This window comes from Homo sapiens, chromosome 6 (assembly GCF_000001405.40).
Source record: "Homo sapiens chromosome 6, GRCh38.p14 Primary Assembly".
Lineage (NCBI taxonomy): Eukaryota > Metazoa > Chordata > Mammalia > Primates > Hominidae > Homo > Homo sapiens.
This window is the reverse complement of record NC_000006.12, coordinates 152,985,607-153,002,719: the sequence shown is the minus strand read 5'-3', so window position 1 is coordinate 153,002,719 and position 17,113 is coordinate 152,985,607. Positions and strand designations below refer to the sequence as shown.

At 38.3% G+C, this 17,113-nt stretch overlaps 1 protein-coding gene across 10 annotated transcripts, besides 2 other annotated features; it reads left to right on the top strand.

The window, feature by feature from the left end:
- On the top strand, positions 11-15,358 carry MTRF1L (mitochondrial translation release factor 1 like). Of its 10 annotated transcripts, none has more exons than NM_001301871.2 (7): positions 11-293; positions 4,091-4,170; positions 7,426-7,584; positions 8,044-8,207; positions 9,746-9,863; positions 11,399-11,535; positions 12,625-15,358. In NM_001301871.2, exons 3-7 carry the CDS (start codon positions 7,488-7,490, stop codon positions 12,823-12,825), a joined length of 717 nt encoding a protein of 238 aa, NP_001288800.1. In that variant the 5' UTR covers positions 11-293; positions 4,091-4,170; positions 7,426-7,487; the 3' UTR covers positions 12,826-15,358. The 10 variants fall into 10 exon arrangements, 9 of the variants coding, with proteins under 9 accessions (NP_001288800.1, NP_001288799.1, NP_061914.3 ...); NM_001301870.2 differs by having other exon boundaries at positions 7,401-7,476; NM_019041.7 differs by having other exon boundaries at positions 7,401-7,584.
- Positions 84-193: a silencer, noted in NCBI's record as "silent region_17694". NCBI's record gives its function as "represses an Ori minimal core promoter by ATAC-STARR-seq in GM12878 lymphoblastoid cells {active_cell/tissue: GM12878}" and the evidence as "EXISTENCE:reporter gene assay evidence [ECO:0000049][PMID:35858748]".
- Positions 204-263: a silencer, noted in NCBI's record as "silent region_17693". NCBI's record gives its function as "represses an Ori minimal core promoter by ATAC-STARR-seq in GM12878 lymphoblastoid cells {active_cell/tissue: GM12878}" and the evidence as "EXISTENCE:reporter gene assay evidence [ECO:0000049][PMID:35858748]".
- Positions 15,359-17,113: the final 1,755 nt, after the last annotated feature.

The window sequence follows — 17,113 nt, the reverse complement described above, 5'->3', positions numbered from 1 at the left end:
GGTTCCGGTCAGGGTCCGCGATCTCGGACTAAGGATGCGGTCCCGGGTTCTGTGGGGCGCTGCCCGGTGGCTCTGGCCCCGCCGGGCCGTTGGCCCAGCCCGCCGGCCCCTGAGCTCCGGTAGCCCGCCGCTGGAGGAGCTGTTCACCCGGGGCGGGCCCTTGCGGACCTTCCTCGAGCGCCAGGCGGGGTCTGAAGCCCATTTGAAGGTCAGGAGGCCCGAGTTGCTGGCGGTGATCAAACTGCTGAACGAGAAGGAGCGGGAGCTGCGGGAGACTGAGCACTTGCTGCACGGTAAGGGTCGGGCCCGGGGGAGAGGCGTCAGAGCACATTCTTGACTCTTCGTTTGACTTTTCCACTGCCCACACTACCCGAGTTTGAAACTCTTTACTCACTTGCAGCCGTTTTTATTTTGGATCAGAGGTCAGGACATCATTACGTGCTGTGATCCCATCCTCTCCTGTGGGCTCTCTTGTGCTCCTTTGCCACGGCGCTCTGCCGCCTTTTACATGCTTATTAGTTGTGGACTCGGGCAAGAGCTCATTAGCTCAGCAAGGATAAATAAGGCACTGTCCCTGTGATGGGCTCCACAGCGGTGTTTCTCAAAGTGTGGTGTGGAGACCCATTTGCAGTAGTATCAGGGCAGTGCTTGTTAATAGCAGACTTAGGACTCAGAATCTCAGACCTATACGTGGGTAAAGGTACTAAATTGGGAAATTCAGTATGGCCTAAGTATAGAATAGGTGGGAGATGATGTCATAGAAACATGAAGCCAGAAAAATAGTTAAGAACCTTGCAAGACAAAGAATTTGGATTTATTTTTTATAGACCATGGAAAGTTAGCAAATGTTTTTAAGCAGAGAATTCACGTCTTTGTAAAGAAAAGTTAATGGTGGCATGCGCTGAGGATAAATTGGAGTATTCTCCAGAAACGCTGGTGGCTGACAGGCCAGGGAGGAGGCAGTTGAAACAATCCAAAGAAGAAATGGTGATAGGCATAGTTCTGACTCACAAAACATTTTGAGAAACAAGTTAGGATTTAGTGGCTTATGCCCTGAGAAGGATGAGGGAGAGAGTTAGTTCTAAGAAAAGTCTTAGGTTTCTGGCTTCAGCACGAGTGGTACTGTTAATTAAGATGAAAGTATAAAAGTTGGACCGAATTTTTTAAAAAGATGAGTTTTGCATTGAATGCCATATTAAGTTAAAAATACCTGTGAAAAGGAATTCCAATAAAGATATCTGTACTAGTCTAGGAGAAAAAATTACTGACATAGGAGAAAAATTGAGCCCAAATAATCATATGAGAGCTCTCGAGATATACAGTACGTGGTAAATTAAACCTTAGAAGTAGATGAGAACACTCAGGGAAAATGTGTTAAGATAGAAACAAGTCTAACAAGGCCAGAAATACACAGTATTTGAGGAGCAGGCAGAGAAGAAGGCTATAAAAGGTCAAGAAAAAAACAGCCAGAGCTTTGTGACCCTGAAGTAGATAAATAAATGAAGCTGTAGAAGCCAATAGAAAATTTCAAGAAGTAAGAGATCCTTGGCCAGGCGTGGTGGCTCACGCCTCTAATTCCAGCACTTTGAGAGGCTCAGGTGGGCCGATCACTTGAGCCCAGGAGTTCGAGACCAGCCTGGGTAACATGGCAAAACCCTGTCTCTACAAACAATGCAAAATTAGCTGGGCATGGTGGTGCGTGCCTGTGGTCCCAGCTACTTGAGAGGCTGAGGTGGGAGAATCGCTTGAACCCGGGAGGTGGAGGTTGCAGTGAGCCAAGATGGTGCCACTGCATTCCAGCCTGGGTGACAGCGCAAGACCCTGCCTCAAAAAAAAAAAAAAAAAAAAAAAATCCGTAGTACCTGACATAGAAAGGTAAAACAACCTTTTCAGCTCACACTGAAATAAGTCTTTAGATTTGGCAATTTTGTCATTGGTAACTTGAATAAAAATGGTCTTGATATGATTATAGAATCCAGTGTAACAGCTTGAGAGGTAAATTAGAGTTAACAGGAGAAAAGTTATAAAAATGGCATTTTATCTCCAGAAATCTGGGTGGGAAAAGAGGGGTGACAATAAGCAGCTACTTAAAGGGTTGAAAAGAAAAGGACCCATTTAGAATGGGAAACCATAAACATCTTTATAGGCAAAGGGGAAGGCAGGCACATGGTAGGTGTCCAGTAAACATATGTTGATTTATAATATTCAAGAGAAATTAAAGAAGTAGTATATTACCATTGCCTGTGAGTAACTCCTAATTCTAAACCCTTTAGAGCTGCACTGTCCAATATAGTAGCCAGTAGCCACACAGCTGTTGAGCAATTTGTGGCTAGTCTGAATTGAGGTGTGTAAGTGTAAAATACATATAGATTTCAAACACCTGGTATAAAAAGTAATATGTTTATGTTAATTACATGTTGAAATAATATTTGGAGCATATTGGGTTAAATAAAATATAGTATTAAAATTAAATTACTTCTAGACTCTAGTTCCAATCTCCTTAGCTTTGCAGAACTGAAAGGCACCTTAGAGATTATCCAGCTCAGAACTTTCATTTCATTCTTGTCATAACTGAAAGAAGTTGAGCCTATTGCCCTAACAGTACCTTAGCGATTAAGCTAGGGCTAGAATTCATTTTTGCTTTTCCTAACACATTTTCCATTCTACCAAATTTCTTCCATACCATATGCTTGCCAAAATAATTTTCAGCAGTGCTTCCTGTACTTGCTTATCTCAGTTTTGCTGTTGTTATTCTCTCTCCTTGAGTTAATCTTTTTTTCCTTTTTCTGCCCATTCCAAAACCAACAGATTCCTTCAAGGCACAACTGTTTTAATATTTAATCACATAGTGTATTAGTCTGTTTTCACACTGCTGATAAAGACATACCCAAGACAGGGTAATTTTTAAGAAAAAGAGGTTTAATAGACTAACAGTTCCACGTGGCTGGGGAGGCCTCCCAATCATGGTGGAAGGCAAAAGGCACGTCTTACATGGCAGCAGACAAGAGAGATAACTTGTGCAGGGGAACTCTTCTTTATAAAACCATCAGATCTTGTAAGACTTATTCACTATCATGAGAACAGCACAGGAAATATCTGCCCCCATGATTCAGTTACCTCTCACTGGGTCCCTCCCACAACAGGTGGGAATTGTGGGAGCTACAAATCAAAATGAGATTTGGGTGGGGACACAGCCAAACCATGTCACATAAGGGTTTAGGTTATTTTTTGTTTTTCTCTTCTAGAAAAATATAAGGAAACTAAAATTATCTATAATGCTCTCTTGAGGGCAGGTCTTATATATGTATTATCCCACTTCCCAGCATGGTTGTTTCTTAATAGATAAGCATACAAACTGATGCTTTGTAAGGGTTTGAACTTTCAATAGAGAGAACAATTTGTTAATAGCCAGAAATTTTCCCTTTCCTCCTCCTTTATATATGCTGCATATCATCTATAGGGTAGAGGAATGAGAAAGTATGTTTTATAAGGTAAAAATGAAAATTCAAAGATGAAACAACAATAAAGGTAAAGCCAGAGAGAGAGACAGAGGAGTACTTCGTATAAACATTCTGTATACATTAGGCAGAATCTAATAAATGTTTTTGGGTGGATACTAAAATACTAATGAAACATTTGCTTATAAGAGAATAAATTTCTACTTTTTAATTGAATTTTAGTTTTACTGGTGTAACCTTCTGTATCCCTTCTGTCTTATTAGCTAAATGCATTCGTTATTATACAGTCTAAGTTGGAAGTCTAAAAGCATATTTATTAAGGTGAATATTTCATGGAGATGAAATTATGGAAGAGTTTAGCTTCTTTATATTTTTATAGAAATTTGTACTTGTACTTTATCAGAAAAAAAATTTTATACTTACATGCTTATGAAAACTAATGTATAAAATGGTGAAATTGATTGAAAGGACATTTATTGAAAGGCATTTATTGAATGGTATTTATTGAAAGGACAAGATATACATTTTATTTTTCCCTTCAGCTATAATAACCATAAAACTATTTCCTAGAAGTCTGCTAGCAATTTAACACTAATTAAGGAAAACCTTAACTTCTGCCCTTTTTTTCCTAGATGAGAATGAAGATTTAAGGAAACTTGCAGAGAATGAAATCACTTTGTGTCAAAAAGAAATAACTCAGCTGAAGCATCAGGTATGGTATTTCTGCAAAGAATAAAGCATTTGTGCTATTCTTAGGCATTAAAGTTTATTAAAGGTTTATAAAAACAAGTGACTAGCTTGTTACTGTTTAGAATAAACTGGGTTTTTTAAATTTATTTTCTAGATTTATTGAGGTATAAATTGACCCCCAAAATTGCATATATTTAAGGTATATGATGTGATGTTTTGATATATGCATACATTTTGAAATGATTATGACTATCAATAAACTGGTTTTTAAAGAACAAACTTCACATGGTCCTGTTTTCATCATACTAAAAGTACTGTAGCGCTCTCACAGAAAGATAAATGTCACAGTGATAGTATTTTCTGGAAAGGCAGCGAAATAGTGGCATATCTTCCCTTTTTTTTTTTTTTTTTTTTTAAGAAGACTGGAGGTAGACATGGGGCAGAAGAGGTTATATGAAAGGACTTCAAAAGTTTGTGGAAAACTGGAATTAAAAGATAAAAAAATATATATATAAACTTTAATTTATTGACATAAGTGCCACCAGCTATCAAGTTCAAGACACTTTGGTAAGCAAAAAGGTGATATACCAGCATTTAATGCATCCCTAAAGAACTGAGGGTCCTGGGAATTTAACCATGTCAATGTAGTCTTTTTTATATTATTAACTAAAGAACAATGGGTACCCTTTACAAAGTTTTTAAGATCAGGAAACAAAAAAAAGGAGGAGCCAAATAAGGACTGTAACATGAGTGCCTATGGATTTCCCATTGAAGCTCTCAAAATTGCCTGTTTGATGAGAGGAATGAGCAGGAGCACTGGTGTAGGAGAGGACTCTGGTGAAGCTGTCCCTGGTATTTTGCTAAAACTCTGGCTTTCTCAAAACCCTCATAGTAAGCAGATACTGTTCTTTGGCCCCTAGAATGTCAATAAGCAAGGTGCCTTGAGAATCCCCAAAAAGACTATTGCCATGACTTTTGCCCCTAGCCAGTCTGCTTTTGCTTTGACTCGACCCCTTCCACCTCTTGGTGGCCATTGTTTTGATTGTACTTTGTCTCCAGGATCATACTGGTAAAGCCATGTTTCACTTCTGGTTATAATTCAAAGAAATGCTTTAGGATCTTGATCCAATTTGTTTAAAATTTCTATTGAAAGCTCTGCTCTTGCCTCCAGCTGATCTGCATGCAAAGGTTCTGGCACCCATCCAGTGGAAAGTTTGCTCACCTTTAATTTTTTTGTCAGAATTTTATAAGCTGAACCAGTTGAGATGTCTGTGGTTTGACTATTGTTTCTTCTGTTAATCATCAGTCTTCTTCAATTAGGGCATGAATAAGATAATTTTTTTCCTCACAAATTGATGCAGATGGTCTGCCACTGTGGACTTCTTCTTCAACATCATCTTGTCTCTACTTAAAATGAGTTATCCATTTGTAAACTGCTGATTTCTTCAGGGCATCATCCCCATAAACTTTTCATAAAGCATCAATGATTTCACCATTCTTCCACCCAAGCTTCACCAGCAATTTAATGTTTGTTCTTGCTTCAATTTAACAGAGTTCATATTGCTCTGATGGGGCTCTTTGCAAACTGATACCCTTTTTAGTACCTCAAACTAGAGCCTGTGACTTGTTATAACAAGTTAGCACGAGTTTATTTTGTTACAAAATAACTTTGAAATACAACTTCTTGAAGTCCCCTGTTAGAGTGATAGTAGACTGTGAGCTCCTCAGGGCCAGGAATACTTATTTTGCATCTCTGACACTATTTGGAATACCAGACCTAGAGTAAGCCCTCACGATTTTAAGAATTGGATTACATTGCTTTGGTTGTACATCTTTGTGAATTACAGAACATATAGAGTTAATGAAGAATAATTATATGAAATTAGAGCCACTCTTTGCTAATTCTGTAAAGCAGAGACTAAAGGTTGACAGCAATTACCGTTGGGGATAAGTGAAAGAATATGTTAGGTAAGGAAGGAGCCAGGAAAGGGGGTACTTATTTTTGAGAATCTGCTTCCCCTTTAGGCAAATGTGAAAATTACTAAAAATTAATGTTCCTATAACCTATGTTAGAGGGGGAGAATTCCACTATAAGGTGAAAAGTGTAGTATAGCTCGCATTTTACCCATTTTCTAAATTAAATTTTGTGTGAATAAGAAGGATATGTGTATTAAATGTTTCTGTTCAGTGTCTAGTAATCAACAAACAGAAGTAAAATCCATTATTTGTTCAAAATTTGAATGATAATGTTGTATTGGCATAGGCTAGAGAGATGGAAAAGTAGTAACTAGCATAGCTTCTGACCAATGTCAAGTGTGATAGCAGTGTACTCAGGTATATTCAGGTTCAATTCTAGCTCTTCCACTTAACTTTTGAGTTGGGTAATGTTGAGCCACTAGATTATTCAACCCCTGTAAAATTAGTTTCACATCTTAAGGTAGAACTGTTAATAATACTTACCCAAGATTGTTTTAAGAATTACAGTATGTACAGTGCTTAGAATGCCTGCCATATATTAAAGAACCAATAAAATGTTGGTAGCTTTTCTTATTAATTGACCTAATCTAAGAAGTGTTTGTTCTAGATCCCCTTGATTAGAAACACACTATTGTAATGGAGGGAAGACTGATCTAGGCACAAAGGTTTGTGTTCTTGTGCCTGCTTGGCCAGTAACTAACACTTTGCCCTTAAACAAGTCATTTAATCTCTGTTAAGCTCTGTTTCCTTTACATGTATAATTAAAGAATTGGACCAGATAATCTCTAAGGGCCTTTTTAGTTTCAAAATTACAAGTTTCTCTTCCATAATAAGAAATCTTAAAATAATACAAATGTAGTTTTGAGTGCTTTTGGTTTTCTGCCATACTAGGCCTTAATTTTCAAGAGGATGGATCTAGAATCTTCTTTTGCTTTCCACAACAGTATAATCTCCGAATCAGAGCAAGTACTTAGTTCTTATTAACTGAAGAGAGAACTGATACAAAGCATACAAGAACTCCAACAGACAATAAAACAAGCCTGAAATTTTAGCTGAATCTTAACAGCATTTATAATATGGTTGTAACATTAATACTTTATGGAAGTTACACATTATACAGTTCTAATTGGCAAGGTGGTTGAACAGTACTCAGCAATATTACATTATTTGCTTGGCGAAACTTAAATATTTAAAATTCCTGAATCATTTAGCTTTTTATTTTTTGATAAATTTTAAATCTTAATTATAGGAGGGGTGATATTTTTATATTTACAGATTATCTTACTTTTGGTTCCCTCAGAAGAAACAGATGAAAATGATTTGATCCTGGAAGTAACTGCAGGAGTTGGAGGTCAGGAGGCAATGTTGTTTACATCAGAGATATTTGATATGTATCAGCAATATGCTGCATTTAAAAGATGGCATTTTGAAACCCTGGAATATTTTCCAAGTGAACTAGGTCAGTAAACTATTCATTTTGTTTCAGGTAAAGTGTTTAGGAAAAGAGTTGGAAAGACCATGACTAGGCTTTAGAACTTATCTGTGAGGATGCTTATGTAGTTTTATGCTCATCATTTACCTAATAAATTTGAATGCACATACAGTAATTTTGAGATGACCTATAAAATCTAATGGAGAGTCTTTCAATAATACTAACCATCAAATTGCTAACAGTCTTTAAAAGTAGTCTTAGATGTGTTACTGATGTCAACTGATTAGCCCCATAAATGCTTTGTTTAGTACTTGTAAGCAGTAAAGATAAATATTAAAACATTGAATATTTTAATATGTTTTACAGTCTCCATGTTCATCTCCTTTTATGACTTTAAAAATATACCTCAAGATAGTAGATGTGATGGTCAATTATTTATAAATGGCAGGAATAATAAAAATAATTCTATTTCCCTGTATTTTCAAGGTGGCCTTAGACATGCATCTGCCAGCATTGGGGGTTCAGAAGCCTATAGGCACATGAAATTTGAAGGAGGTGTTCACAGAGTACAAAGAGTGCCAAAGACAGAAAAGCAAGGCCGCGTCCATACTAGCACCATGACTGTAGCAATATTACCCCAGCCTACTGAGGTAAGGCATAAGCCCCTCTCCTTGGAATCCCGGGCCTAGCACAGTGCCTTGTCCCCAGAGTTAACATTCAGAGTTTACTGAATTGAGTATCTATTTGGTCTTCCTTGTGTATTTTGAGTTGCATATTATCTCAGTCTAAAAAATATAATTTTATAATGCTAAAAAATTAAGGATTTGTAAATGATACAATGTTGCATTGTCTGTGTATTAGTATTTTCCTAATAAGTAGTTATTGTGAGATCATCTCTGTGGGTGAAATAATAACCTATTTAAATATGGACTGGTTGCCTTTATAATGACTTCTGCCTTGTGTGACTGGTTTGTGGGGTATTAACAGCAACAATCCTATTTAACAAAGGTAATTACTTAACAGAATTGCTGCTTCATAACCCAGTTACATTAAAATGAAAGTATATTGTTATACTGTTCATAATGAGTATACTTTATTCTCACAAAGCAAATTCTCAGTCTATATTTTTAAGATAACTTAGTGTAGGAGTTCTGTTTTGCCTCATTTCCCTTCTACTGAAAAGTGATAGCAGATATCTGACTTGTTTTTCAGAATGAAGTGTGAATGCTTTGAGAAGGAACTCTTAGTGGTTCCTATGCTAATTTTGGGAAAAAGTGCTATTTGGCTCTGTAATAGGTTTAATGGAGTTCCTTTCTTTAGGTCTTAGTTTCTTTAGATCTAATTTTTGTGTGAAGCATAGGTGAGAAACTAAGCAGTTAAGGGAGAGAGTAAAGTAGAATAAATGGCAAGAGCCACATCTAGAAACCTAGTCACTTATGTTTAACCATCTTGGGGTGGAAGTTTTCAGGAAAAGATGAGAGACTGAGGTCCATGTATCATCTAATTCCTCTAGCAACCATAAGAGGGAGTCAACACAGGGAGACATAGAGGTAGAAGGCCCAGAGAATGGTAGGATTCTTACTGTCAGCATTGCAGAGATGTCACAGAATGGTTCTTAGTTGTTCATGAAACAGTGCTTTTGATGGTGGCTCCTAGGACAAAGCATTACCTTGACCTCAGATCCCAGTGTGTTGAGGAATTGAGACTCATGACTTCTTGGCCACTCCCATTTCCATTTGGCTCATCTTTGCCTCCAAATATGTTTGAAATAAAACAAAACAGACCCTTCCCACAGTTCTCACGCTACCATTTTTTTTTCCTGCTGCTAGGCTCTTTAAACTCAGAAAAATTTGAAAAAACCTTAAACATTCAGTTCTAAAAGTAGGCAGAATAGTATCAAGTTCTGCTGTTTCTGTGGTAAGAAATGGATAAAGGGAAGCCAGGTTTTTGAGGACTAGAAAGGATTTGTTTTTCAAAACTGTACAGTCCTGTACTATTTCGATTCCCTACTCTTCCAAAAAGCAAAAAAGTTTTAAAATGGTATCCTTCTAGCTACTCTCTAGTCTTAAAATTAAACCTCCCAAATATATGAATTCTGTACATGTTGTATATTCATAAATGGGTCGCTCTTGCCTTTATAAAGTTGATACATGTAATCTTTTAAAATCCCAACTTTTCTTCTGTATAGATTAATCTGGTGATTAATCCGAAAGATTTGAGAATTGACACTAAGCGAGCCAGTGGAGCTGGGGGGCAGCATGTAAATACCACGGACAGTGCTGTCCGGATAGTTCATCTTCCAACAGGTGTGTACTTATTCCTTCAATATATGACACCAAAGAAATCAATTTTGGAATAATATGACTAATTTTCCACTGAAATAGATCCTCGGTTACCAGAGAAGTATATACTTCTAAGGATTGTTATTAAATATTTGATTTACTTAGAATCCTTACCTGATACTCCGTGGGATAACTGCAAGGCGAGGAAGAGGGAGGGATCCAAACTCAGGGAATGTCTGTATTAATTACTATTTATAGAAGGTGTGGATGGTCCTTTCAGGTGGAGTTCTGAGTTTTACACTTAAAAAGAAAATTCTCACAATGAAGTAATTATCATGGGTTCTTTATCAGAAAATGCTCTAAATTGTTGGTTCTGAGCCTTTTTGCAGGGGAGGGGAACATGGCTTCCTTTAAAAAAAAATGATATGAAAGCATTGGACCTCCTACTCAGAAACACATATACAGTTTTGCATATAATTGCAGGGGCTTCTTTCCATTAAGTTCATTCACATACTTCGAGGGGATCTGATTCTAGATAGTTAGGCAAAGGGACTATATCGAAATCTCCAGTATACTGTAGCTCGAACTAAACGTCTTTCACAGGTATCACCACAGTGATTCACATGTGATAAAGAGCATAGGGATAGCAAATCTCAGTTATCTAGAAAGGAAACAAGAATCTCTTACTGTGACTGATCTCAAATGGGCATAGTCCCTATTAACTAATAGTGGTTGAGGCCAGTACTGGATTGTTAACGATTTTGTTCTTTTAAATTATGAGAATATCCTTATGTTAAACTGGATGATGTCTTAGGTAATACAGAATATGAAACAAAAATTGGGGGAAAAAATGGATAGCCTAAAAAAGTTAAGTGATTTTCTCTGGTAATAGGATTTTTCATGTATCGTAGTTTCTATAAGTAGTTGTTACTTTTAAAACATGGTGGCTAGCTGAGGGGAAACAATCTGTATTAAATGATTTATGCTTATTGTTTAGTATGTATGCCTTCAGTATAGAAATACTTTGTGCTAGGCCGGGCGCGGTGGCTCACGCCTGTAATCCCAGCACTTTGGGAGGCCAAGGCAGGCGGATCACGAGGTCAGGAGATCGAGACCATCCTGGCTAACAAGGTGAAACCCCGTCTCTACTAAAAATACAAAAAAAAATTAGCCGGGCGTGATGGCGGGCACCTGTAATCCCAGCTACTCGGGAGGCTGAGGCAGGAGAATGGCGTGAACCCGGGAGGCGGAGCTTGCAGTGAGCCGAGATCGCGCCACTGCACTCCAGCCTGGGCGACAGAGCGAGACTCCATCTCAGACAAAAAAAGAAAGAAAGAAAGACTTTGTGCTATTTGTGCTATTGCTCAAAACTTAAATTTTCAGTTTTCTGATAAACTCTGCAAAAGTTAAGCTTATAGTCTCTCCCTTTTTTATTAGAGTCCTCTGTTTTTTCCCCTCATAAAGGAAGAAGAAAAAGGATGAGGAGGAAAAGTATTCCTTGATAATAAGTAAAGAAGATTTTTTTATTAAAACTTTTTAATTCTCGTAACACTATTCAGGTGTTGTTTCTGAATGTCAACAAGAGAGATCTCAGCTGAAAAATAAAGAGCTGGCTATGACAAAGTTACGTGCAAAACTGTACAGCATGCATCTAGAAGAAGAAATAAATAAAAGACAGAATGCTAGAAAAATTCAGGTAAAAAAAGAATTTTAAAAATGCTTTTAAAGGATAGAAATATTTTTATATAACTCAGCTTTTTTTAAATAACTTGGTTTTTATATATTTGTTTTAACCTGTGTTGAAAACAATTCAAGTAGTCTAAGGGCTATCCTTCTTTGATAGTAATCTTACATCTCTGCCCTGTTTTCTATATTCAAAGGTATTTTTCTCAGACTTTTAATCCGTTACTAAAAATAAAGATATATACTGAGTCCTCATTCATTTTTAATCCTTTGAAATTTTAATTACGCAAGAAAGTTGGAAAGCAAACTCAACTTGGCTTTCTTCCTGTTTTTTTCTTCCTGTATTTAATTTTTGTTGTTGTTGTTTGTTATTGACATGGAGTTCCGCTCTTGTCACCCAGGCTGGAGTGCAGTGGTGCGATCTCAGCTCACTGCGACTTCCACCCCCTGGGTTCAAGCAATTCTCCTGCTGCAGCCTCCTGAGTAGCTGGGATTATAGGCGCCTGCCACCACACCCGGCTAATTTTTTGTATTTTTAGTAGAGACGGGGTTTTGCCATGTTGGGCAGGCTGGTCTCGAACTCCTGACCTCAGGTGCTCCACCCACCTCAGCCTCCCAAAGTGCTGGGATTACAGGTGTGAGCCACCGCGCCTGGCCGGTATTTAATTTTATAACTACAGAGCCTTTTAAGAATTCCTCAATATGGGAAACTCACCACCTTGTTACCACGGAAGATGACTGCATTAATTCACAGAGATTATATGTATTCAGCGACTATAGGAATAGCATCTATGTGCCAGGCTCTATTGTCATCATCACTGTGTAGTAGACACTGTATTTTGCAGATCGGGAAACTAAGTTGCCCGAGGTCATAGAACATTGAAGTGGCTGAGGCAGGATTCAGATATTAATCTGATTTTAGAGCACGTGTTCTTTTTTCTATATCATGTTCCCATGTCATTTGAGATTCTAAGTGTTTAAAACCTGGTTCTCGCATTTGATTCATGTTATAAATCAAGAACTTAAGTCTCCAAATAAGTTAAATTTGTAGGTTTAAATTGCCCTGAATCTAGCTGCATCTCATCTTTTTCTCTATATACAGATTGGAAGTAAAGGAAGATCAGAGAAAATAAGAACATATAATTTTCCACAGAACCGGGTCACAGATCACAGAATAAACAAGACGCTGCATGATCTTGAAACTTTTATGCAAGGAGATTATCTACTGGATGAACTTGTACAGTCATTGAAGGAATACGCCGATTATGAATCTTTAGTAGAAATTATTTCCCAAAAAGTTTAAGTTGATTTGTTATTTATAGACTTTCGTAGCTTAGAAAAATTCTACAGTACATCCACATAGGGTGAAAGTACCCTTACTCTCTTGAAAAACGTTGAGTTAACACAGTTGGAGGTAATATGCATATTCTGAAGTCATAGATAATTTACACAGATCTCTCTCAATGCATTAGCAAAAATCATACAATATACAGATGGTCCTCGATTTACATTGTGGTTAATTCCCAATAAACCCATCATAAGTTAAAAATGCATATAACGTTAGCAACACAGCAGTCTCCTAATTAATGACAGCTTGACTTAACAATTTTCCAACTTTACCATGGTGTGAAAGAGGTATGATTCCTAAGCCCTAAGGAGCTCCTCAGCTTGAAATGGGGCTGCATCCCTATAAACCCATCATAAAGTCAAAAAATCCTAAAACATAAGTTGGTGACCATCTGTAATCATGATGTGGTGGTAAATCTTGGACGCTACCTTACAATAACTAGACAAAGGAAAATCATCCTTTGTCCTGTTCTGTGTAAATATTTAATGAATGATCAAAACTTCAGTTTAAATATTATGAAAAACTTTAAACATAAAGTAGTAGAAATAAGACAGTAAATACTGTATCCTAATATCCAGTCAGGATACAGAAACCATACCATTAACTTGAACAGGGATAATTTTAATATAAAAACTGTTAACTGATAATGGTATTAACTTTTAAGAGGGATGAAAGAGAGCTATGATGTCCTAGGACTGAGAGTACCCCAGGAAAGAATACCCTTGAAAGGGTCTCCCCTTCCCCATGGTGAAGTCAGGCCTAATGGAGAGAGTGGCTACAGCCTACTCAGTGATTGGGAAATTCCCTGTCTTGCCCTGGGCCAGAGCTGGTGTACCGCTGGTGGATCAGGTCTTACAAGCAAAGAACCTCACACTCCCAACTGGTAAGCCAGAAGCCTCTTGCTAGGGTGTGAGCAAAACTTGGACAGGAACTCTCAGTAGATGTTTGTGTTTGTCAAGATTCTCCAGACAAACTTCCTTAAAAGGATTGGCTTGTGTTGTTATTATTAAGTCTAACAAGTCCAAAAGCTGGAGTGTGAGGCAGGAGGCTGGAAACCCAGGAAAGCTGATGGTGCAAGGTCCAGTCCAAAGGTATCTGTTGGAGGATTCTCTTGTTCTGGGAAGAGGACGGTCTTTTTTTCTCTTCAGACCTTCACCTGACTGGATCAAGCCCACTAACATCGAGGAGGACAGTCTGCATTACTCAGAGTTCACTGATTGATTTAAATGTCAATCTCATATAAAACACCCTCACAGAAACACCTAGAATAATGTTTGACCTTATAATTGGAAAATCAGAGCAAAAGTTAAATCTCAAAAAAAAAAAAAAAAAAAGTATGACCCAGTAGCTAGGCACCTGTGGCCCCGCCAAGTTGACACATAAAATTAACTGTCACAGTATCATCTTAGAAGTGAAAGAAGCCCCTTTATCCTGCAGTGCCCCTCTACCACCACCTACTGACAAAGAACATGGTGCTATCTGGCATGGGAGAAATGTTCAGTTTGCTATGGCTTGTATGTGTCCCCTCAAATTCAAGTGTTGCCAATGTGACAGCATCAAGAGGTGGGGTCTTTAAGAGATCACTAGGCCATGAGGGATTCTCTTAGGACTGGGATGAAGGCCCATAATAAAAGAGGTTTCGGGGAGCATCCTGCTAGCTTGCCTTCTGTATGTGAGAACACAGCAAGAAAGCCCTAGTCAACAAGTGCCAGCTCCTTGATCTTAGACTTCCCATCCTCCAGAACTGTGAGAAATACATTTCTGTTCCTTACAAATTACCCAGTCTCCTGTATTCTGTTATAGCAGCACAAAATGAAGATACCATACCTGAACACCTGAACATTCTTCACAAGGTAGTAAATGCACTGCTTTATTCTGGTCTCAGTATTGTGTGCTTAATAAGGAAATGAGAAAGGGTGGATCAGGGCATAGGATGAACAAGTTACTGCTAGACCTCTCACAATGCCACTAATGGATAAGATTGTATTTTCATCATTCTTGTCTCTTCGGAAGCTAACACCATGCTATAATAGGCACTAAATAGATGTCTAAAAACACCTTAAGTATTTGTCTAGAAATCTGGTGCATTGTTCAGAAAGAACCAAAATTCAAAATAATTTCAAAGGGCCTAAAGCACTAGTTAATCAAAATTCATTAGTTTTTAATGGTACTACCACTCTCAAATTTAAAATGTCATCTTACGTTCCTCTTCCTCGCATTGGATTTATTGCTAAAACCTGGTAAACACTTTTAATCCTTTTCAATTCCATTACCACTGCTCTTGTCCAGAATTACTTCGCAGACTAATAGTCACCTGACTTCTCCCCTGCATCCGATTTGCTGTCTAATTCTGGTTACAAATAAGTAACTGCCAAACTAATCTTTCTAAAAAGCAAGACTGATCTCGTCACTCCTTTGCTCAACAATGTAAAAGCTCCCATTGTCTCCCAAATAAAACCAGCTTTCCACTGTGTATACAATACATCCATGATCTGTATCCAGCATCATTTTGTATTAGCTCACTTTATACACCACCCCCCATGCCACATCAAATTAAATTATCCTGATAAATGCAACTGCATTTACCCTTTCCCTTATTTTGTTCTTTATGTTGTAGGCCTCCTTTGTGCCCATTTCTTCAGAAGACATCCCCTACAGCCATGGTTCTCATCCAGAGGGTCTTTTGCCCCCGCAGGAGACATCTGACAACGTTTAGAGACAGTTACCACAACTGGAAGATGGAATAAAAGAGATGCTGCTAAACATCCTACAACAATTATCTGGCCAAAAATGTGCTGAGGTTAAGAAACCCTGTCCTACAGATTATTCCCTTATCCTGGTACATAGAAGTAACTCCTTTTTTTCTATGAAAATTTCCACAATTTTTTTTTTTCTTTTTGACATGGAGTTTCACTCTTGCTGGCCAGGCTGGAGTGCAATGGCGTGATCTCGGCTCACTGCAACCTCCGCCTCCTAGGTTCAAATGATTCTCCTGCCTCAGCCTCCCAAGTAGCTGGGATTACAGGCACCCGCCCCCATGCCTGGCCAATTTTTTGTATTTTTAGTAGAGATGGGGTTTCACAATGTTGGCCAGGCTGGTCTTGAACTTCTGACCTCAGGTGATCTGCCCACCTAGGCCTTCCAAGTGCTGGGATTACAGGTGTGAGCCACCAGTCCCGGCCAAAATTTCCACAAATTTAAATGTATTTGACTCATCCAGTGTTCCACATAGCTTTATTTTATACACCTTACCCCCACAGATATGCCTGATTGGTATTCAGAAATTATTTACTGAACACCTATTATGGCTATTATGTGGCAAGCCCACAGATAATAAGCACAAGGGCAGGTGTCATGTCCCATTTATTTCCATATATCCCATTGTTTTGCATGTGATAGGTCTGCGATAAGAATTTTACGAAAGAATGAGGGCAGTTCTCTCTGCACTTCATGTTCCACCTAAACACCCAACAACTGATTGATGCTGATTTGAAAAATGAGGTGTATACATCTATTGGCTTCTAGTAAAATTCAGAATGTCCCCTTGCCCTTTATTTTTTGGTCGCCAGGCTGGAGTGCAGTGATGCGATCTCAGCTCACTGCAACCTCTGCCTCTGGGCTCAAGCCATCCTCCCACCTCGGCCTCCCAAGTAGCTGGGACTACAGGTATGCACCACCATGCCTGGCTAATTTTTGCTTTTTTTGTTTTTGGTAGAGATGGGGTTTCACCATGTTGACTCCTGGGCTCAAGCAATCCTCCTGCCTCTGACTCCCAAAGTGCTGGGGTTACAGGCATGAGCCACCACACCCCGCCAGAGTGGCCCTAACTTTCTCACTTAGATGAGAATTTTAACAGGTGCCAGTGAACTGAACCTATCGACAGTTATGAATAATATAATAATTAAAGCTCAAACATTATTTAATGTCAATGATGCAGTAACCCAATAAGCTGAAAAAAAAAACCTAACAAATTATTCTAGCATGCAACAAAACATGCTTGGTTCTTTATATTACATTATGACAGAAATTTTGATTTCTCCAATAATATATCAGCCTTTTTCTAGAGAATAAAAAAACTGCTGAAGAACAAATCTAAGCTGAGGATAAGATCCAAAGGTTATATTCCAGATGCTCAGCTAATTTAATGAGCCAGGCTCGGTGGCTCATGCCACCCAGCACTTTGGGAGGCCGAGGTGGATGGATCAGTTGAGATCAGGAGTTCAAGACCAGCCTGGACAAAAAG

Bases quoted from the DNA above. Each gene is read 5' to 3' on its own strand.
- MTRF1L (NM_019041.7), top strand. From the start codon at position 35: ATGCGGTCCCGGGTTCTGTGGGGCGCTGCCCGGTGGCTCTGGCCCCGC. The intron at 4,171-7,400 runs GTATGGTATTTC...TTATATTTACAG, and splicing joins TAACTCAGCTGAAGCATCAG to ATTATCTTACTTTTGGTTCC. The intron at 8,208-9,745 runs GTAAGGCATAAG...TCTTCTGTATAG, and splicing joins TATTACCCCAGCCTACTGAG to ATTAATCTGGTGATTAATCC.